This window comes from Homo sapiens, chromosome 7 (genome assembly GCF_000001405.40).
Source record: "Homo sapiens chromosome 7, GRCh38.p14 Primary Assembly".
NCBI lineage: Eukaryota > Metazoa > Chordata > Mammalia > Primates > Hominidae > Homo > Homo sapiens.
This window is the reverse complement of record NC_000007.14, coordinates 103,445,078-103,467,351: the sequence shown is the minus strand read 5'-3', so window position 1 is coordinate 103,467,351 and position 22,274 is coordinate 103,445,078. Positions and strand designations below refer to the sequence as shown.

Sequence of the window (22,274 nt, the reverse complement as noted above, 5' to 3'; positions counted from 1 at the left end):
GTCAGACATTTTTTAACACCTCTACAATCACCTTAACAGAAACTAAACAGCTCCCTTAAAGGCTAAAGAAGAAACTCAATCACTATTAATTCTAACACAATTTCTTTCATGTTGATACTTTAAGCAATTTCAAGTTGGTTCTTTGCTCTGCCTCTAAATTTCCTAACTGTAACAAAATACTTACTTTCTAGCACCTTCTATGTGTGGAGCTTGACAAAACAACAGAGAAGGAAAGCTGTCTTTTGGCCTCTCTACCTAAGACACACCCTGATATGGTTTGGCTGTGCCCCCACCCAAATCTCATCTTGAATTGTAACTCCCACAATTCCCACGTGTTGTGGGAGGACCTGGGAGGCAATTGAATCATGGGGGCGGGTCTTTCCCATGCTATTCTTGTGACAGTGAATATGTCTCTTGAGATATGATGTAAAAGGGCATTCTCCCTGCACAAGCTCTGTTCTCCTGTCTGCCACCATGTGCGATGTGCCTTTTGCCTTTCACCTTCCACTGTGATTGTGAGGCCTCCCCAGCCACATGGAACTGTTAAGTCCAATAAATCACTTTCTTTTGTAAATTGTCCAGTCTCTGGTATGTCTTTATCAGCAGCATAAAAATGGACTAATACACACCTTCATGCAACCAGAACTCTGTTCAAATTCCCACACCATGAAAACCAGCTTTCATCCCCAGTCCTACAGATTAACCAACTCTCATAATGGAGAGAGAAAAGGTAGGCATTTACTTACAGTGGTAGGCATTTACATATCTCACAAAAAATTGTTAGTATAATTAGTGATTACATAAATAATATAACTGTAACTTTTCCCTGAGGGATTTACATTTTAGTAAGTAGTGTTAAACTTCCAGAACTGTTTCCAGATCCAAAAGAATGAGTTTTTAATGGAGAGACTTTGGGTATTTAGGTAACTGAGGGGGGTATTTAGGTAACTGAGGGGGGTATTTAGGTAATTGAGGTAGGTATTTTAGCAAAATAGCTTTGTCAATTGCCATGGCAACTGAAGTCTTCCATTTGGATGGATCAGACATTGAGTTGCTAGTCCGGTGACACAAGTTCCAGGGCCCACCTTCCTGTAAGACTTTGACCTACAGGTTAGTCCACTAGATCTGTTTCAAACTCAGTGCACATAAATGCTCAGCATTTGATAGTTTAAATACCTCCGATGGCACATCTGCCCTGCCCTGCTCATGCTGGCCTGGTAGGCGAGCTTCTAAAACCAAGAAAATAGACCTGATTCTCAGCTGAAAGAGATATTGAGGAGCTGCCTAAGCCAGAGATAACCTGTTAGTTACACCTATTCCTTGGGTGACACTCTCACCCAAGTCATTATTACCTCCCATGCTGCTTGGGATTGGGGCAGATCCAGGTTTTGGTGGGCTAACTTACACAATTTGGTAGAATCTCTGTAAGGAAAAAAAAAAAAAAAACCTCAATATGAGAAATACAAAATTAGGTATAAAAGTGCATATTTAAAATGAGAAAAGAAATCGCAACATGTTACAAATTTATAAATATTGAAAAATTGACAAATTTCATAAATACTATCTGGAACTGCCAGACTTCATCAAGAAAAGATGGACCAGTAACCAAAGATGTCTGGTAGGCCAAGGTTGGCGAATCACTTGAGGTCAGGAGTTTGAGAGCAGCCTGGCCAACATGGTGAAACCCCATCTGCACTGAAAAAAAAAATTACCCCAGCATGGTGACGGGTGCCTGTAGTCCCAGCTACTCTGAAGGCTGAGGCATGAGAATCACTTGAACCCGGGAAGCGGAGGTTGCAGTGAGCCAAGATTGCGCCACTGCACTCCAGCTTGGGTGACAGAGTGAGACCCTGTCTCAAAAAAAGAAAAAAGAAAAAGAAACCAAAGAACCAAAGATGTCATCAAATATACATATAAAATAGGTAACTTTACACACCCGATGAACTCCTTATTATTTATTTGAAGAACAAATAACTAGAAGTTTCTGAATTTGAAAGGATCTATAAATCTACAGATTCTAAAAAGCTCAGCGAACTTCAAGCAGGATAAACACAAACATTTTTAAAATTTGGCCTCCCTGGAGGCGGCACCACTTTCTAATTCTCATAACATCTAGTGATGGCCTTGCCCTTCCCTTCGTCTGGTTTTCTGCCTACTGTTCTGTTTGTATTTTCTCAGTCTACTTATTGATAATAATTACTACAGTAGCCAGCATTTGGTCCCCTGCTGCATCCATTCTGGTCCTTTCCGATCCATTTTGCAAGCAGTGATATGGTGGATCTTTTCAAAATGCAAATACAATCATGTCGTCTCCTGTTCAACCTCTTCAAAGAGTTCACATTGAGCCGGCACAGTGGGTCATGCCTGAAATCTCCGCACTTTGGGAGGCTGGGGCAGGCAAATCACCTGAGGTCAGGAGTTTGAGACCAGCCTGGCCAATACGGTGAAACCCCGTCTCTACTAAAAATACAAAAATTAGCCAGGCATGGCGGCTGGTGCCTGTAATCCCAGCTACCCAGGAGGCTGAGGCAGGAGAATCACCTGAGCCTGGAAGGCAGAGTTTGCAGTGAGCAGAGAACTGGCCCTGCCTTCCTCTCCAGCTGTATCTTATGCCACTCTACCCTTTGTGCTCCATCCACCTGGGCCTTCTTCAGGCTTGTTTCCGTCTTTCCAATGTGCCATGCCACTTGCACTTACGGGGCATTTGCAGGTGCTAGCTCCTCACCCTACCTCCACCCCTTTATCTAATTGACTCCTAATGTTTGACACCCCACCCCCCACCCCTTCCTGATTTGGATTGAGTTTTTTCATTTAAATGTGCTCATACTTCTGGATTTTTTTTACCTTTACAGCATTTATCCAAGTTGGTAGTTAGCCTTATCAGTGTTATTATCTAACGAAACTCTGGCTTCTCCTCCACTGTTAGTCTGTAAATTCCACGTGAGCAACTTTCTAGTGCAGTCTCAATGCCTGCCACATGTTGTTTGAAAAATTAACAGTTATTAAAATAATAAATGAATCCATAAGTATTTACAAAAAAAATTTATATTATGCTATTTATTAGCTTTACATTCTTTGGCAAGTCGGTTAATATTAGCCTGTCTGTCTGTAATACCAGAGGAATGATAGCCACTCATGAAACTATTATAAGAATTAAGTAAAAATACATGTGTGTCCCTTAAAAAATAAGCAGTTCTTTCTCTAAGCAAAAACAATGCTTTCAAGACAAAATACAAATGAGAAATTGAGAGTATATTTGTAACACATATCACAGATAAAGAGCAAATATTCCTAATATACAAAGATCTTTCAAATTGAAGGTAAAAATAGACCAAAAATTACGTAGAAAAATGAGCAAAAGATATGAATAGATAATTCAGGAAAATCATACAAAAAATGGCCCTTCGACATACGAAAGGTGTGCAACATCACTCATTATAATAGAAGTGTAAAGTAAGCCCCACTGAGATACAACTTCTAACCCATCAAATTGGCAAAATTCAAAAGCTTGACAATATAAGCTTGAAAAGGCTGTGAAACATAGGCCTCCTCATACCTTGCTGGTAGGAATGAAAAATGACATAAGCCCTGAGGAGAGGATTATGGCAACAGCTAAGAAAACTACATACGCATTTACTTTTTGACCCACCAAACACTTGATCCCACTTCTAGGAATTTATCCTAAAGCTACACCTCCAAAAATATGAAAATGTACATGCACAAAGTTATTAATTGCAGCATTATTTGTAACCACAAAATATTGTAAGCTACATAACTATCCAAACATAGGAGAGTATTTCAACACACTGTGCTACATATATGTAATGTACTACTGTGTAGCTGTTTAAAAAAAAAAAGGAAGATCTCTGTGACATAACGTGGAGTGATTTCCATAGATACTGTTAAGTGGAAAGAGCTAAGTGTAGAAGAATATATGAAGAATGCCACTTTTGTGTAAGAAAGAAGGGGAAGCTGGGCGCAGTGGCTCACACCTGTAATCCTAGCACTTTAGGAGGCTTAGGAGGGAGGATCGCTTGAGCCCAGGAATTAAAGGCTGCAGTGAGCCATAATTGTGCCACTGCACTCCAATCTGGGTGAGAGAGAGAGACTTATGTCTCAAAAAAAGAAAAGGAAGGAGGTGGCTGACAAGATGGCCAAATAGGAGCAGCTCCGGTCTGTAGCTCTCAGCGATATCAACGCAAAAGGTGGGTGATTTCTGCATTTCCAACTGAGGTACCTGGCTCATCTCACTGGGACTGGTTAGATAGTGAGTGCATCCCATGGAGGGTGAGCCGAACGAAGCAGGGCGGGGCATTGCCTCACCCTGGAAGGACAAGGGGTCAGGGAACTCCTGCCCCTAGCCAAGGGAACCCGTGAGGGACTGTGTTGTGAGGAATGGTGCACTCTGGCCCAGATACTACACTTTTCCCACGGTCTTCTTAACCCACAGACTAAGAGATTCCCTCAGATGCCTACACCACCAGGGCCCTGGGTTTCAAGCACAAAACTGGGCGGCCATTTGAGCAGACACCAAGCTAGCTGCAGGAGTTTCTTTTTTATACCCCAGTGGCACCAGAAACACCAGTGAGAGAGAACCGTTCACTCCCCTGGAAAGGGAGCTGAAGCCAGGGAGACAAGTGGTCTAGCTCAGTGGATCCCACCCCAGTGGAGCCCAGCAAGCTAAGCTCCACTGGCCTGAAATTCTCGCTGCCAGCACAACAGTCTGAGGTCAAACTGGGACCCTCGAGCTTGGTGCGGGGAGGAGCATCCACCATTACTGGGGCTTCAGTAGATGGTTTTCCCCTCACAGTGTAAACAAAGCCAACGGGAACTTTGAACTGGGCAGAGCCCACCACAGCTCAGCAAAGCCGTTGTAGCCAGAATGCCTCTCTGGACTCCTCCTCTCTGGGCAGGGGATCTCTGAAAAAAAAGGCAGCAGCCCCAGTCAGGAGCTTATAGATAAAACCGCCATCTCCCTGGGACAGAGCACCTGGGGGAAGGCGCAGCTGTGGGCACACCTTCAGAGGACTTCAACATCCCTGCTTGCCAGCTCTGAAGAAAGCAGTGAATCTCCCAGCACAGCACTCGAGCTCTAAGGGACAGACTGCCTCCTCAAGTGGGTCCCTGATCCCTGTGCCTCCTGACTGGGAGACACCTCCCAGCAGGGGTCAACAGACACCTCATACAGGAGAGCTCCGGCTGGCATCTGGCGGGTGCCATTCTAGGATGAAGCTTCCAGAGGAAGGAACAGGCAGCAAGCTTTGCTTTTCTGAAGCCTCTGCTGGTGATACCTAGGCAAACATGGTCTGGAGTGTACCTCCAGCAAACTCCAACAGACCTGCAGCTGAGGGGCCTGTTAGAAGGAAAACTAACAAACAGAAAGGAATAGCATCAGCATGAACAAAAAAGATATCCACTCACAGACCCCATCTGAAGGTCACCAACATCAAAGACCAAAGATAGACAAATCCACGGAGATGAGGAAAAAACAGCCCAAAAAGCCTGAAAATTCCAAAAGCCAGAACGCCTCTTCTCTTCCGAAGGATCACAGCTCCTCACCAGCAAAGGAACAAAACTGGATGGAGAATGAGTTTGACGAATTCACAGAAGTAGGCTTCAGAAGGTGGGTAATAACAAACTCCTCCCGAGCTAAAGGAACGTGTTATAACCTATTGCAAGGAAGCTAAGAACCTTGAAAAAGTTTAGAGGGATTGCTAACTAGAAAAAACAGTTTAGAGAAGATCATAAATGACCTGATGGAGCTAAAAAAAGGCAGAACAATAACTTCGTGAAGCATACACAAGTATCAATAGCCAGAACGATCAATCAGAAAAAAGGATGCCAGAGATTGAAGATCAACTTAATGAAATAAAGCATGAAGACAAGATTAGAGAAAAAAGAATGAAAAGGAATGAACAAAGCCTCCAAAAAAATATGGGACTATGTGAAAAGACCAAACCTACATTTGATTGGTGTACCTGAAAGTGAGGGGAGAAAAGAACCAAGCTGGAAAATACTCTACAGGATGTTATCCAGGAGAACTTCCCCACTGTAGCAACAAAGACCAACATTCAAATTCAGGAAATATGGAGCACACCACAAAGACACTCCTCAAGAAGAGCAACCCCAAGATATATAATCGTCAGATTCAGCAAGGTTGAAATGAAGGAAAAAATATTAAGGGCAACCAGAGAGAGGTCGGGTTACACACAAAGGGAAGCCCATCAGACTAACAGTGGATCTGTCTTCAGAATCCCTACAAGACAGAAGAGAGTGGGGCCCAATTTTCAACATTCTTAAAGAATTTTCAACCCAGAAATTCACGTCTGCCAAACTAAGCTTCATAAGTGAAGGAGAAATAAAATCCTTTACAGACAAACAAATGTTGAGAGAGTTTACCACTACCAGGCCTGCCTTACAAGAGCTCCTGAACAAAGCACTAAACAAGGAAAGGAAAAACCAGTACCAGCAACTGCAAAAACATATCAAATTGTAAAGACCATCGACACCATAAAGATACTGCATAAACTAATGGACAAAACAACCAGCTAGCATCATAATGACAGGAGCAAATTCACACATAACAATATCAACCTTAAATGTAAATGGGCTAAATGCTCCAATTAAAAGACACAGACTGGCAAATTGGATAAAGAGTCTAGACCCATTGGTGTGCTGTATTCAGAAGACCCATCTCACCAGCAAAGACACAATAGGCTCAAAATAAAGGGATGGAGGAATATTTACCAAGGAAATGGAAAGCAAAAAAAGAAGCAGGGGTTGCAATCATAGTCTCTGATAAAACAGACTTTAAATCAACAAACATCAAAGGAGACAAAGAAGGCCATTACATAATGGTAAAGGGATCAATGCAACAAGAAGAGGTAGGTATCCTAAATATATATGCACCCAATAGAGAAGCACCAAGATTCATAAAGCAAGTTCTTAGAGACCTACGAAGAGACTTAGACTCCCCACAATGACAGTGGGAGACTTTAACACCCCACTGTCAATATTAGACATATCAATGAGACAGAAAATTAAGAAGGATAACCAGGACTTGAAATCAGCTTTGGACCAAGCAGACCTAATAGACATCTACAGAACTCTCCACCCCAAATCAACAGAATATACATTCTTCTCAGCACCACATCACACATATTCTAAAATTGACCACATAATTGGAAGTAAAACACTCCTCAGCAAATGCAAAAGAAAGGAAATCATAACAGTCTGTCAGACCACACTGCCATCAAATTAGAACTCAGCATTAAGAAACTCACTCAAAACTGCACAACTACATGGAAACTGAAAAACCTGCTCCTGAATGACTACTGGCTAAATAACGAAATTAAGGCACAAATAAATAAGTTATTTGAAACCAATGAGAACAAAGACACAATGTACCAGAATCTCTGGGACACAGCTAAAGCAGTGTGTAGAGGGAAACTTATAGCACTAAATGCCTACAAGAGAAAGCAGGAAAGATGCAAAACTGGCACCCTAACATCACAATTAAAAGAACTACAGAACCAAGAGCAAACAAATTCAAAGGCTAGCAGAAGACAAGAAATAACTAAGATCAGAGCAGAACTGAAGGAGATAGAGACATGAAAAACCCTTCAAAAAAATTAATGAATCCAGCAATTGGTTTTTTGAAAAGATCAACAAAATAGGTAGACTGCTAGCCAGACTAATAAAGAAGAAAAGAGAGAAGAATCAAATAGACACAATAAGAAATGATAAAGGGGATATCACCACTGATTCCCAAAGAAATACAAACTACCATCAGAGAATACTATAAACACCTCTATGCAAATATACTAGAAAATCTAAAAGAAATGGATAAATTCCTGGACACATACACCCTCCCAAGACTAAACCAGGAAGAAGTCGAATCCCTGAATAGACCAATAACAAGTTCTGAAATTGAGGCAGTAATTAATAGCCTACCAACCAAAAAAAGTCCAGGACCAGATGCATTCACAGCTGAATTCCACCAGAGGTACAAGAGGAGCTGGTACTATTCCTACTGAAACTATTCCAAACAACAGAAAAAGACGGACTCCTCCCTAACTCATTTTATGAGGGCAGCATCATCCTGATAACAAAACCTGGCAGAGACACAACAAAAAAAGAAAGTTGCAGGCCAATATCCCTGATGAACATCAATGCGAAAATCCTCAATAAAATACTGGCAGATCAAATCCAGCAACATATCAAAAAGTTTACCCACCACGATCAAGTCAGCTTCATCCCTGGGATGCAAGGCTGGTTCAACATACACAAATCAATAAATGTAATCCATCACATAAACAGAACAAATGACAAAAAACAACATAATTATCTCAATAAATGCAGAAAAGGCCTTCAATAAAATTCAACAGCTCTTCATGCTAAAAACTCTCAATAAACTAGGTATTGATGGAATGTATCTCAAAATAATAAGAGCTATTTATGACAAACCCACAGCCAATATCATACTGAATGGGCAAAAGCTGGAAGCATTCCCTTTGAAAACCAGCACAAGACAAGGATGCCCTTTCTCACGACTCCTATTCAGCACAGTATTGGAAGTTCTGGCCAGGGCAATCAGGCAAGAGAAAGAAATAAAGGGTATTCAATAAGAAAAAGAGGAAGTCAAATTGTCTCTGTTTGCAGATGACATGATTGTCTATTTAGAAAACCCCACCGTCTCAGCCCAAAATCTCCTTAAGCTGATAAGTAACTTCAGCAAAGTCTCAGGATACAAAATCAATGTGCAAAAATCACAAGCATCCCTATACACCAATATTAGAGAGCCAAATTATGAGCAAACTCCCATTCAAAATTGCTGCAAAGAGAATAAAATACCTAGGAATACAATTTACATGGGATAGGAAGGACCTCTTCAAGGAGAACTACAAACCACTGCTCAATGAAATCAGAGAGGACACAAACAAATGGAAAAACATTCCATGCTCATGGATAGGAAGAATCAATATCATGAAAACGGCCATACTGCCCAAAGTAATTTATAGATTCAATGCTATCCCCATCAAGCTACCATTGACTTTCTTCACAGAATTGGAAAAACTACTTTAAATTTCATATGGAAACAAAAAAGAGCCCACATAGCCAAGACAATCCTAAGCCAAAAGAAACAAAGCTGGAGGCATCATGCTACCTGACTTCAAACTATAGAAGGCTACAGTAACCAAAACAGCATGGTACTGGTACCAAAACAGATATATAGACCAATGGAACACAACAGAGGCCTCAGAAATAACACCACACATCTACAACCATCTGATCTTTGACAAATCTGATAAAAAGAAGCAACGGGGAAAGGATTCCCTATTAAATAAATGGTGTTGGGAAAACTGGCTAGACAAATGCAGAAAACTGAAACTGGATGCCTTCGTTACACCTTACACAAAAACTAACTCAAGATGGATTAAAGACTTAAACGTAAAACCTAAAACCATAAAAACCCTAGAAGAAAACCTGAGCAATATCATTCAAGACATTGGCATGGGCAAAGACTTCATGACTAAAACACCAAAAGCAATGGCAACAAAAGCCAAAATTGAGGGGACTTCAAGATGGCCGAATAGGAACAGCTGCAGTCTACAGCTCCCAGCAAGATCGACGCAGAGGACGGGTGATTTCTGCATTTCCAACTGAGGTACCTGGTTCATCACATTGAGACTGGTTAGACAGTGGGTACAGCCCACGGAGGAAGAGCAGAAGCAGGGCAGGGCATCACCTCACCCAGGAGGTGCGAGGGGTTGGAGATTTCCCTTTCCTACCCAAGGGAAGCCGTGAGAGAGGGACGAATGCTACACTCCTGCCCAAATACTGCACTTTGCCCACGGTCTTCGCAACCGGCAGACCACAAGATTCTCTCAGGTGCCTGGCTCAGCAGGTCCCACACCCACAGAACCCAGCAAGCTAAGATCCATTGGTTTGAAATTCTCGCTGCTAGCGCAGAAGTCTGAGATCGAACTGGGACGCTGGAGCTTGGCGGGGAGAAGGATGTCTGCCACTGCTGGAGCTTCAGTAGGCGGTTTTATGCCCACAGTGTAAACGAAGTTGCCAGGAAGCTCAAACTGGGCGAAGCCCACCACAGCTCAGCAAGGCTGACTGTCTCTCTAGATTCTATCTCTGTGGGCAGGGCATATCTGAACAAAAGGCAGCAGCCCCAGTCAGGGACTTATAGACAAAATCTTCATCTCCCTGGGACAGAGTACCTGGGGAAAGGTGCAGCTGCCAGCACAGCTTCAGCAAACTTAAACAACCCTGCCTGACAGATCTAAAGAGAGCAGTGGATCTCCCAGCACTGCGTTTGAGCACTGATAGCGGACAGACTGCCTCCTCAAGTGGGTCGACCCCCATGTACCCTAACTGGGAGTCACCTCCCAGTAGGGGCCGACAGACACCTCATACAGGAGAACTCTGGCTGGCATGTGGCGGGTGCCCCTCTGGGACAAAGCTTCTGGAGGAAGGAAAAGGCAGCAATATTAGCTGCTCTGTAGCCTCCACTGGTGATACCCAGGCAAACACAGTCTGGAGTAGACCTCCAGCAAACTCCAACAGACCTCCAGCTGAGGAGCCTGACTGTTAGAAGTAAAACTAACAAACAGAAAGGAATAGCATCAACATCAACAAAAAGGACATCCACACCAAAACCCCATCCGCAGGTCACCAACATCAAAGACCAAAGATGGGGAGAAACCAGAGCCTCAAGACTGAAAATTCTAAAAACTAGAACACTTCTTCTCCTCCAAGGGATCACAACTCCTAACCAGCAAGGGAACAAAACTGGACGGAGAATGAGTTTGATGAGTTGACAGAAGTAGGTTTCAGAAGGTGGCTAATAACAAACTTCTCCAAGCTAAAGGAGCATGTTCTAACCCATCACAAGAAAGCTAAAAACCCTGAGAAAAGGGCAGAGGAACAGCTAACTAGAATAACCAGTGTAGAGAAGAAAATAAATAACCTGATGGAGCTGAAAAACACAGCACAAGAATGTCATGAAGCATACACAAGCTTCAATAGCCGAATCAATCAAGCGGAAGAAAGGATATCAGTGACTGAGTTCAAATTAATGAAATAAAGCGAGAAGACAAGATTAGAGAAAAAAAGAATGAAAAGAAACAAACAAAGCCTCCAAGAAATGTGGGACTAGTGAAAAAACCAAATCTGTGTTTGAATGGTGTACCTAAAAGTGATGGGGAGAATTAAACCAAGTTAGAAAACACTCTTCAGGATATTATCCAGGAGAACTTCCCCAACTTAGCAAGGCAGGCCAACATTCAAATTCAGGAAATACAGAGAACACCACAAATATTCCTCGAGAAGTATAACTCCAAGACACATAATCATCAGATTCACCAAGGTTGAAATGAAGGAAAAAATGTTAAAGGCAACCAGAGAGAAAGGTTGGGTTACCCACAAATGGAAGCCCATCAGACTAATAGCGGATCTCTTGGCAGAAACCATACAAGCCAGAAGAGAGTGGGGGCCAATATTCAACATTCTTAAAAAATGTTTCAACCCAGAATTTCATATCCAGCCAAACTAAGCTTCGTAAGTGAAGGAGAAATAAAATCCTTTACAGACAAGCAAAGGCTGAGGTATTTTGTCACCACAAGGCCTGCCTTACAAGAGCTCCTGAACAAAGAACTAAACATGGAAAGGAACAACCAGTACCAGTCACTGCAAAAACATGCCAAATTGTAAAGACCATTGACGCTATGAAGAAACTGCATAAACTAACAGGCAAAACAACCAGCTAGCATCATAATGACAGGAGCAAATTCACACATAACAATATTAACCTTAAATGTAAATAGGCTAAATGCCCCAATTATAAGACACAGGCAAATTGGATAGAGTAAAGACCCATCAGTGTGCTGTATTCAGGAGACCCATCTCACGTGCAAAGACACACATAGGCTCAAAATAAAGGGATAGAGGAAGATCTTCCAAGCAAATGGAGAGCAAAAAAAAGCAGGGGTTGCAATCCTAGTCTCTGATAAAAACAGACTTTAAACCAACAAAGAACAAAAGAGACAAAGAAGGCCATTATATAATGGTAAAGGGATCAATTCAACAAGAAGAGCTAACTATCCTAAATATATATGCACCCAATACAGGAGCAGTGAGATTCATAAAGCAAGTTCTTAGAGACCTAGAAAGAGACTTAGAGTCCCACACAATAATAATGGGAGATTTTAACACTCCACTGTCAATATTAGACATATCAATGAGACAGAAAATTAACAAGGATAGCCAGGACTTGAACTCAACTCTGGACCAAGCAGACCTAATAGACATCTACAGAACTCTCCACCTCAAATCAATAGAATATACATTCTTCTCAGCACCACATCACACATATTCTAAAACTGACCACATAATTGGAAGTAAAACACTCCTCAACAAATATGAAAAAACAGAAATCATTACAAACTTTCTCAGACCACAGTGCACTCAAATTAGAACTCAGGATTAAGAAACTCACTCAAAACTGCACAACTACATGGAAACTGAACAACCTGCTCCTGAATGACTACTGGCTAAATAACAAAATAAAGGCACAAATAAATAAGTTCTTTGAAACCAATGAGAACAAAGACAGAACATACCAGAATCTCTGGGACATATTTAAGCAGTGTGTAGAGGGAAATTTATAGCACTAAATGCCCACAAGAGAAAGGAGGAAAGATCTAAAATCGACCCCCTAACATCACAATTAAAAGAACTAGAGAAGCAAGAGCAAACAAATTGAAAAGCTAGAAGGCAAGAAGTAACTAAGATCAGAGCAGAACTGAAGGAGATAGAGGTACGAAAAACCCCTCAAAAAAAAAAAAATCAATGAATCCAGGAGCTGGTTTTTTGAAAAGATCAACAAAATAAATACACTGCTAGCCAGACTAATAAAGAAAAGAGAGAAGAATCAAATAGATGCAATAAAAAGGGATAAAGGGGATATAACCATCGATCCCACAGAAATACAAACTACCATCAGAGAATACTATAAACACCTCTATGCAAAAAAATTGGAAAATCTACGAAAAATGGATAAATTCCTGGATGCATATACCTGCCCAAGACTACCAGGAAGAAGTTGAATCTCTGAATGGACCAATAACAGTTTCTGAAATTGAGGTAGTAATTAATAGCCTACCAACCAAAAACAGTCCAGGACCAGACAGATTCACGGCCGAATTCTACCAGAGGTACAAAGAGGAGCTGGTACCATTCCTTCTGAAACTATTCCAAACAATAGAAAATGGCCATACTGCCCAAAGTAATTTATAGATTCAATGCTATCCCCATCAAGCTACCACTGACTTTCTTCACAGAATTAGAAAAAACTACTTTGGTGGGGGTGGAGCCAAGACGGCTGAATAGGAACAGCTCCAGTCTACAGCTCCCAGCATGAGCGACACAGAAGACGGGGATTTCTGCATTTCCAACTGAGGTACCAGGTTCATCTCACTGGGGAGTGTCAGACAGTGGGTACAGGATAGTGGGTGCAGCGCACTGAGCGTTAGCAGAAGCAGGGCGAGGCATCGCCTCACCTGGGAAGTGCATGAGGTCGGGGAACTCCCGGACAGATGGCACCTGGAAAATCAGGTCTCTCCCACCCAAATACTGCGCTTTTCCAATGGTCTTAGCAAACAGCACACCAGAAGATTATATCCCATGCCTGGCACAGAGGGTCCTGCGCCCACGGAGCCTCGGTCATTGCTAGCACAGCAATCTGAGATCAAACTGCAAGGTGGCAGCGAGGCAGTGGGAGGGGCGCCCGCCATTGCTGAGGCTTGAGTAGGTAAACAAAGCAGCCAGGAAGCTCGAAGTGGATGGAGCCCACCACAGCTCAAGGAGGCCTGCCTTCCTCTATAGACTTCACCTCTCGGGGCAGGGCATAGCCAAACAAAAGGCAGCAGAAACCTCTGTAGACTTAAATGTCCCTGTCTGACAGCTTTGAAGAGAGTAGTGGTTCTCCCAGCACGTAGTTGGAGATCTGAGAACAGACAGACTGCCTCCTCAAGTGGGTCCCTGACTCCCGAGTAGCCTAACTGGGAGGCACCCCCAAGTAGGGGCAGACTGACACCTCAAACGGCCAGGTACTCCTCTGAGACAAAACTTCCAGAGGAATGATCAGGCAGCAACATTTGCTGTTCACCAATATCCGCTGTTGTGCAGCCTCCACTGCTGATACCTAGGCAAACAGGGTCTGGAGTGGACCTCCAGCAAACTCCAACAGACCTGCAGCTGAGGGTCTTGACTGTTAGAAGGAAAACTAACAAACAGAAAGGACATCCACACCAAAACCCCATCTGTACGTCACCATCGTCAAAGACCAAAGGTAGATAAAACCACAAAGATGAGGAAAAACAGAGCAGAAAAACTGGAAACTCTAAAAATCAGAGCGCCTCTCCTCCTTCAAAGGAACACAGCTCCTCACCAGCAACGGAACAAAGCTGGATGGAGAATGACTTTGACGAGCTGAGAGAAGAAGGCTTCAGACGATCAAACTACTCCAAGCTAAAGGAGGAAGTTTGAACCCATGGCAAAGAAGTTAAAAACCTTGAAAAAAAATTAGACGAATGGCTAACTAGAATAACCAATGCAGAGAAGTCCTTAAAGGACCTGATGGAGGTGAAAACCAAGGCACGAGAACGACGTGACGAATGCACAAGCCTCAGTAGCCGATTTGATCAACTGGAAGAAAGTGTATCAGTGATGGAAGATCAAATGAATGAAATGAAGCGAGAAGAGAAGTTTAGAGAAAAAAGAATTAAAAGAAATGAACAAAGCCTCCAAGAAATATGGGACTATGTGTGAAGACCAAATCTACGTCTGATTGGTGTACCTGAAAGAGAAGGGGAGAATGGAACCAAGTTGGAAAACACTCTGCAGGATATTATCCAGGAGAACTTCCCCAATCCAGCAAGGCAGACCAACATTCAAATTCAGGAAATACAGAGAACGCCACTAAGATACTCCTCGAGAAGAGCAACTCTAAGACACATAATTGTCAGAGTCACGAGTCACCAAAGTTGAAATGAACGAAAAAATGTTAAGGGCAGCCAGAGAGAAAGGTCGGGTTACCCACAAAGTGAAGCCCATCAGACTAACAGCTGATCTCTTGGCAGAAACTCTACAAGCCAGAAGAGAGTGGGGGCCTACATTCAACATTCTTAAAGAAAAGAATTTTCAACAAAGATCAAGAGAGACAAAGAAGGCCATTACGTAATGGTCAAGGGATCAATTCAACAAGAAGAGCTAACTATCCTCAATATATATGCACCCAATACAGGAGCACCCAGATTCATAAAGCAAGTCCTTAGAGACCTACAAAGAGACTTAGATTCCCACACCATAATAATGGGAGACTTTAACACCCCACTGTCAACATTAGATCAACGAGACAGAAAGTTAACAAGGATATCCAGGAACTGAACTCAGCTCTGCACCAAGTGGACCTAATAGACATCTACAGAACTCTCCATCCCAAATCAACAGAATATACATTCTTTTCAGCACCACACCACACCTATTCCAAAATTGACCACATAGTTGGAAGTAAAGCACTCCTCAGCAAATATAAAAGAACAGAAATTATAATAAACTGTCTCTCAGACCACAGTGCAATCAAACTAGAACTCAGGATTAAGAAACTCACTCAAAACCGCTCAACTACATGGAAACTGAACAACCCGCTCTTGAATGACTACTGGGTACATAAAGAAATGAAGGCAGAAATAAAGATGTTCTTTGAAACCAACGAGAACAAAGATACAATATACCAGAATCTCTGGGACACAGTAAAAGCAGTATTTAGAGGGAAATTCATAGCACTAAATGCCCACAAGAGAAAGCAGGAAAGATCTAAAATTGACACCCTAACATCAAAATTAAAAGAACTAGAAAAGCAAGAGCAAATACATTCAAAAGCTAGCAGAAGGCAAGAAATAACTAAGATCAGAGCAGAACTGAAGGAAATAGAGACACAAAAAACCCTTCAAAATAATCAATGAATCCAGGAGCTGGTTTTTTGAAAAGATCAACAAAATTGATAGACCGATAGCAAGACTAATAAAGAAGAAAAGAGAGAAGAATCAAATAGATGCAATAAAAAATGATAAAGGGGATATCACCACCAATCCCACAGAAATACAAACTACCATCAGAGAATACTATAAACACCTCTGCGCAAATAAACTAGAAAATCTAGAAGAAATGCATAAATTCCTCGACACATACACCCTCCCAAGACTAAACCAGGAAGAAGTTGAATCTCTGAATAGACCAATAACAGGCTCTGAAATTGATGCAATAATTAATAGCTTACCAACCAAAAAAAGTCCAGGACCAGATGGATTCACAGCCGAATTCTACCAGGGGTACAAGGAGGAGCTGCTACCATTCCTTCTGAAACTATTCCAATCAATAGAAAAAGAGGGAATCCTCCCTAAATCATTTTATGAGGCCAGCATCATCCTGATACCAAAACCTGGCAGAGACACAACAAAGAAGGAGAATTTTAGACCAATATCCCTGATGAACATCGATGCAAAAATCCTCAATAAAATACTGGCAAACCGAATCCAGCAGCACATCAAAAATCTTATCCACCATGATCAAGTGGGCTTCATCTCTGGGATGCAAGGCTGCTTCAACATACACAAATCAATAAACGTAATCCAGCATATAAACAGAGCCAACAACAAAAACCACATGATTATCTCAATACCTGCAGAAAAGACCTTTGACAAAATTCAACAACCCTTCATGCTAAAAACTCTCAATAAATTAGGTACTGATGGGACGTATCTCAAAATAAGAGCTATCTATGACAGACCCACAGCCAATATCATACTGAATGGGCAAAAACTGGAAGCATTCCCCTTGAAAACTGGCACAAGACAGGGATGCCCTCTCTCACCACTCCTATTCAACATAGTGTTGGAAGTTCTGGCCAGGGCAATCAGGCAGGAGAAGGAAATAAAGGGTATTCAATTAGGAAAAGAGGAAGTCAAATTGTCCCTGTTTGCAGATGACATGATTGTATATCTAGAAAACCCCATCGTCTCAGCCCAAAATCTCCTTAAGCTGATAGGCAACTTCAGCAAAGTCTCAGGACACAAAATCAATGTGCAAAAAATCACAAGCATTCTTATACGCCAATAACAGACAAACAGAGAGCCAAATCATGCGTGAACTCCCATTCACAATTGCTTCAAAGAGAATAAAATACCTAGGAATCCAACTTACAAGGGATGTGAAGGACCTCTTCAAGGAGAACTACAAACCACTGCTCAATGAAATAAAAGAGGACACAAACAAATGGAAGAACATTCCATGCTCATGGGTAGGAAGAATCAATATCGTGAAAATGGCCACACTGCCCAAGGTCATTTACAGATTCAATGCCATCCCCATCAAGCTACCAATGACTTTCTTCACAGAATTGGAAAAAACTACTTTAAAATTCATATGGAACCAAAAAAGAGCCCGCATTGCCAAGTCAATCCTGAGCCAAAAGAACAAAGCTGGAGGCATCATGCTACCTGACTTCAAACTATACTACACAGTAACCAAAACAGCAAGGTACTGGTACCAAAACAGAGATATAGACCAATAGAACAGATCAGAGCCCTCAGAAATAACGCCGCATATCTACAACTATCTGATCTTTGACAAACCTGACAAAAACAAGATATGGGGAAAGGATTCCCTATTTAATAAATGGTGCTGGGAAAACTGGCTAGCCATATGTAGAAAGCTGAAACTGGATCCCTTCCTTACACCTTGTACTAAAATTAATTCAAGATGGATTAAAGACTTACATGTTAGACCTAAAACCATAAACACCCTAGAAGCAAACCTAGGCAATACCGTTCAGGACATAGGCATGGGCAAGGACTTCATGTCTAAAGCACCAAAAGCAATGGCAACAAAAGCCAAAATTGACAAATGGGATCTAATTAAACTAAAGAGCTTCTGCACAGCAAAAGAAACAATCATCAGAGTCAACAGGCAACCAAAAGAACGGGAGAAAATTTTTACCATCTACCCATCTGACAAAGGGCTAATATCCACAATCTACAAAGGACTTAAACAAATTTACAAGAAAAAAACAACCCCATCAAAAAGTGGGCAAAGGATATGAACAGACACTTCTCAAAAGAAGACATTTACACAGCCAACAGACATATGAAAAAATGCTCATCATCACTAGTCATTAGAGAAATGCAAATCAAAACCACAATGAGATACCATCTCATGCTAGTTAGAATGGTGATCATTAAAAAGTCAGGAAACAACAGATGCTGGAGAGGATGTGGAGAAACAGGAAAGCTTTTATGCTGTTGGTGGGAGTGTAAATTAGTTCAACCATTGTGGAAGACAGTGTAGTGATTCCTTAAGGATCTAGAATTAGAATTACCATTTGACCCAGCAATCCCATTACTAGGTATATACCCCAAGGATTATAAATCATTCTACTCTAAAGACACATACACATGTATGTTTATTGCAGCACTATTCACAATAGCAAAGACATGGAACCAACCCAAATGCCCATCAATGATAGACCGGATAAAGTAAATGTGGCACATATACACCATAGAATACTATGCAACCATAAAAAAGGGTGAGTTCATGTCCTTTGCAGGGACATGGATGAAGCTGGAAACTGTCATTCTCAGCAGACTAACACAAGAACAGGAAACCCAACACCTCATGTTCTCACTCATAGGTGGGAGTTGAACAATGAGAACACCTGGACACAGGGAGGGGAACATCACACACTGGGGCCTGTCGGAGGTGGGGGGCTAGGGGAGGGATAACATTAGGAGAAATTCCTAATGTAGATGACGGGTTGATGGGTGCAGCAAACCACCCTGGCACTTGTATAGCTATGTAACAAACCTGCACATTCTGCACGTGTATCCCAGAACTTAAAGCATAATAAAAGAAGGAAGGCAAGGAAGGAAGGAAGGAAAGGAAGGAAGGAAGGAAAGGAAGGAAGGCAGGCAGGCAGCCAAGAACATGTAAACAAATATCTGTGGCTTTACAAAAACACAGGAAGAATAGATGAGAAATCATGACATTGTTTACTCACACAGGATTGGCTAGAATGTGTGGAACAAAGGAGGGAAGAAAATTCCCTGAGTATACGTTTTCAGATCTTTTTAATATTCTTTAATTTTTTCTTTTATCCGCTTTTAAGTTCTGGAGTACATGTCCAGGATGTGCAGATTTATTACACAGGTAAACGTGTGTCATGGTGGTTTGCTGCACAGGTCAACCCCATCACCTAGGTATTAAGGTCTAGCATCCACTAGCTGTTCTTCCTGATACTCTCCCTAATATTCTAATACCAAATAAATGTAATTAAGCCAGCAAGGATGGGAAGGGGGTAGGGGGTGGGGAAGACTCATATTAAAAGCAAACTCATCTCTAAACCAGAAATAATAGCAATATCTATACAAGTAAATACATGTACTCAGAACAGTGCCTACTACATGTAAACACTGAACAGGTGTTAGCAACATTGCCATTATTGTGTTAGTATATTAGGTACCTGGTGCTACCGGCAAAACCAGTTTATCATCCAACTGTCTCCAGTGTTGCTACTCAAAGTTTGGTCCTCCAGTAGCCTATCAGGATCACCCAGGGGCCTGTTAGAAAGGCACATCTCAGACCCCACCCCAGACCTACTGAATCAGAATCTGCGTTTTTAACGGGATCCGCAGGTGATTCCTATGCACATTAAAGTGTAAGAAGTACTGGGCTACAGACAGGTATGTGACAAAATAATTTCATAGGATGGCAAAGGCCAAGTGGCAAATGAAGGACACCAGAAATGCACGTCCCAGGAGCCCAACTCCTCCTTAGTAAATTACCCTATTAAGATTTGTTTAGAGATGTTCAAAAGCGTGGAGAAAAGCAAATTTGGTTTCCTCAGCTAGGGACGCGGAGAGTGGTCTGGTGCCCTTGAAGAGATCGCCCTCGTGTGGAGTAGGGAGGGAATCTCTAGCCTTTCCTCTCGGATGAAGAACAGCACCAGCGCTCCCAGCCAAAGGCCTGGCCCAGGTTCTGGAGGTGGGGTCTCCTTGGCAGAAGCCTCTGGTGTCTGCAGGCGTGCATTTACAGCTTTAAGACCAAACAGCTAGTCCGCCACGTGTCACTACAGTGTGCACGCGCAGAAATGCACAAAGCAAAAAAAAAAAAAAAGATGCTCTTAATGAACCAACTATAATCCTTGCTAAGGCATAAAGCCAGAGGGAAGTATGTATCTGAAATCATTTTCTACCCCTCACCCTCTTGGAGCCCGGCACTCTGGCTGCGGTGCTCTCTTGTATCCCAGTTGCTAGATGCAAAACAAGCTATTTCCTATCTAATTTTTTTTTTTAAGAGACGGAGTCTCGCTTTGTTGCCCAGGCTGGTCTCAAACTCCTGGACTCAAGCAATTCTCCCAGCTTGGGGTAACGTGTTACATTATTCTACTTAATAAAAAGCAAAAGTTGTTTTATAAATTCTAACTTAAATGCCCAGAAAATAACTTATCATGCATTGCCTTGTCGTGCAATAGTCAATATTTGCAAACCAAGTGTTAACCAAAGGCAGTTCATCAAAGATTTTTGAAAATTAAAAAAAAAAAAAAACTCATACTCACATTGTCCTCAGGATTTCCTGTTTTCGAAATGTTCCTGTACGAATCGGAGTCTCTATAATGATTGTAATTGAAAAGATAAGTCAGGTTTTTTGTGTTTTTTTTTCATTTTAAAATCATAATACGCAATGTTTTCCACTTGAACGCTATACCTTGTGTATTGTGCTTGCTTCAGCCTCGAGCCTCTACTGATGTTCCACCTCAAGGCGACAGGAATGCCACCTGGAGAAACTCCTGGGCGGTATGGGAAGAAAGCCGGTCTCATCAGAGTATATTTGCGGGGATCGACGACCAAGGTGTTAAATTCCAAGCACGCTTTGGAAAGTTCTAGGTGCTTGGGAAGAGATCCGTAGGCGGCAGGGATGCCCGCGCCCCGGCGTCCCAGCGCGGAGGGTGGCGGCGGGGCCTGGCCCTAGCGGGGCGGGGCGGGCTCGGGTTACCGGGAGTCGCGGGGCGCGGCCGGCACTGCCCGCGGCGCCTCCTCCTAGAGCCGCACCTGGAGGCAGCGCGCGCGTCGAAGAGGCAGCGGCTGTGGAGCGCGGCGGGGCGGCTCCGCCCAGGGCAGCCCGGGCTGGTGAGTGCGCGCGGGCGGCCGCGGGGCCGGGGGTCGCGGTCCCTCGGGAGGGGACTGAGCTGAGGCCCGCGGGCCCACCCGAGCAGGGGCCCTCGCTGTCACCGCCTCTGCCCCTGTCTCCCAGGCCCCATGTCGCGCTTTTTCCCTAAACGAACCGGTGACAGGGCTGACCTGCCCGCACTCTGCTGGTCCCTACGCCGGGAAGGAGAAAGTCTCACGAAGCTCTTTCCTTTGCAACCCCTGTCCCCTTGCCCTCTGCAGCTCCACACAGCATTTTTACTTCCCGTTTGCCTCCTCGAATCCCTTCGGTGCTAATCCAGCCCTTCGCCGTTTCCAGTTTGGGTCTGGCCTGTTTGTATCCAAATCGAATTACACAAAACCAGGCCCTCAGTTCTGCCTCTGGCCCTCTTTCCGGAGACGGGCCCTGCCTCCTCCTGTGCCGGGCTGGGCTTGCCCGGCATTGGCCGCCCGGAGCTCCCAGGGAGCAAGGCTGTGGTCCCGAAACTGGGCCCTCCGCTCAGCGCCGGGCAAGGCTCAAACCCCGGGTCTCTGACTTATCCGGTCACGAAGGGACTGCTCAGAGCCTAACAGCCCTAAAATTTGGTATTGGCCCCCTCCCGGGAAATCCTTCTCCCTACCAATCAGGCATCGCGGCAGGTGCTCTGCCATCATAGAGGCTCTGACACGCTGAACTCTCGAAGCTCGCGGCAGTGTTTATTTTTAGGAGAGATTTAGTTGATCGGGAACCAATTGACTTGGTTGACTGCCTCATCTAGTGCGCACCTGGGCCGGGCCCCGCCGGGAAGGCGTGCTGGACGTTCTCAGTGAGCTCCGAGACCTACAGAAGAAACAGCTGCAAGGATCCGATCAGCTAGCTGTGAAGAAAGCCTCAGATACGCTGTGGGGTGGGCAAAATTCTTTTCCTAGCTTCGATGAGTACTGTGGATTCTAGAATTTAAACAACATTCATGGAGACTCTTAAAACAACAAAAAATATCAACTTTTTGCGGGCACAGACTG

General features: G+C 43.1%; 1 protein-coding gene and 1 long non-coding RNA gene across 12 annotated transcripts in view, besides 2 other annotated features; one reads left to right on the top strand and one right to left on the bottom strand.

The window, feature by feature from the left end:
• SLC26A5-AS1 (SLC26A5 antisense RNA 1) overlaps positions 1-22,145 on the bottom strand; it is a 68,801-nt gene extending 46,656 nt beyond the window's left edge. Inside the window, exons 1-2 of the long non-coding RNA NR_110141.1 lie at positions 20,833-22,145; positions 20,684-20,735 (exon numbers count right to left, since the gene is read on the bottom strand). This is a non-coding gene — a long non-coding RNA (SLC26A5 antisense RNA 1). The remainder of the gene's footprint in view (positions 1-20,683; positions 20,736-20,832) is intronic.
• Positions 21,070-21,139: a silencer, noted in NCBI's record as "silent region_18511". NCBI's record gives its function as "represses an Ori minimal core promoter by ATAC-STARR-seq in GM12878 lymphoblastoid cells {active_cell/tissue: GM12878}" and the evidence as "EXISTENCE:reporter gene assay evidence [ECO:0000049][PMID:35858748]".
• The window catches only part of SLC26A5 (solute carrier family 26 member 5), a 93,478-nt gene continuing 92,348 nt past the window's right edge, over positions 21,145-22,274 (top strand). For 10 of the 11 annotated variants that reach the window (NR_135802.2, NR_135801.2, XR_007060034.1 and 7 more), the window contains exon 1: positions 21,145-21,254. The gene's annotated coding sequence lies outside the window, so the exon portion shown is untranslated. Of the gene's footprint in view, positions 21,255-21,299; positions 22,160-22,274 lie in introns of those variants that run through there. The other variant, XM_011516170.4, reaches the window with a different exon arrangement.
• Positions 21,196-21,772: an enhancer, noted in NCBI's record as "H3K4me1 hESC enhancer chr7:103086027-103086603 (GRCh37/hg19 assembly coordinates)". NCBI's record gives its function as "activates a minimal SCP1, AML or CMV promoter by ChIP-STARR-seq in primed H9 embryonic stem cells {active_cell/tissue: H9 hESC(primed)}" and the evidence as "EXISTENCE:reporter gene assay evidence [ECO:0000049][PMID:30033119]".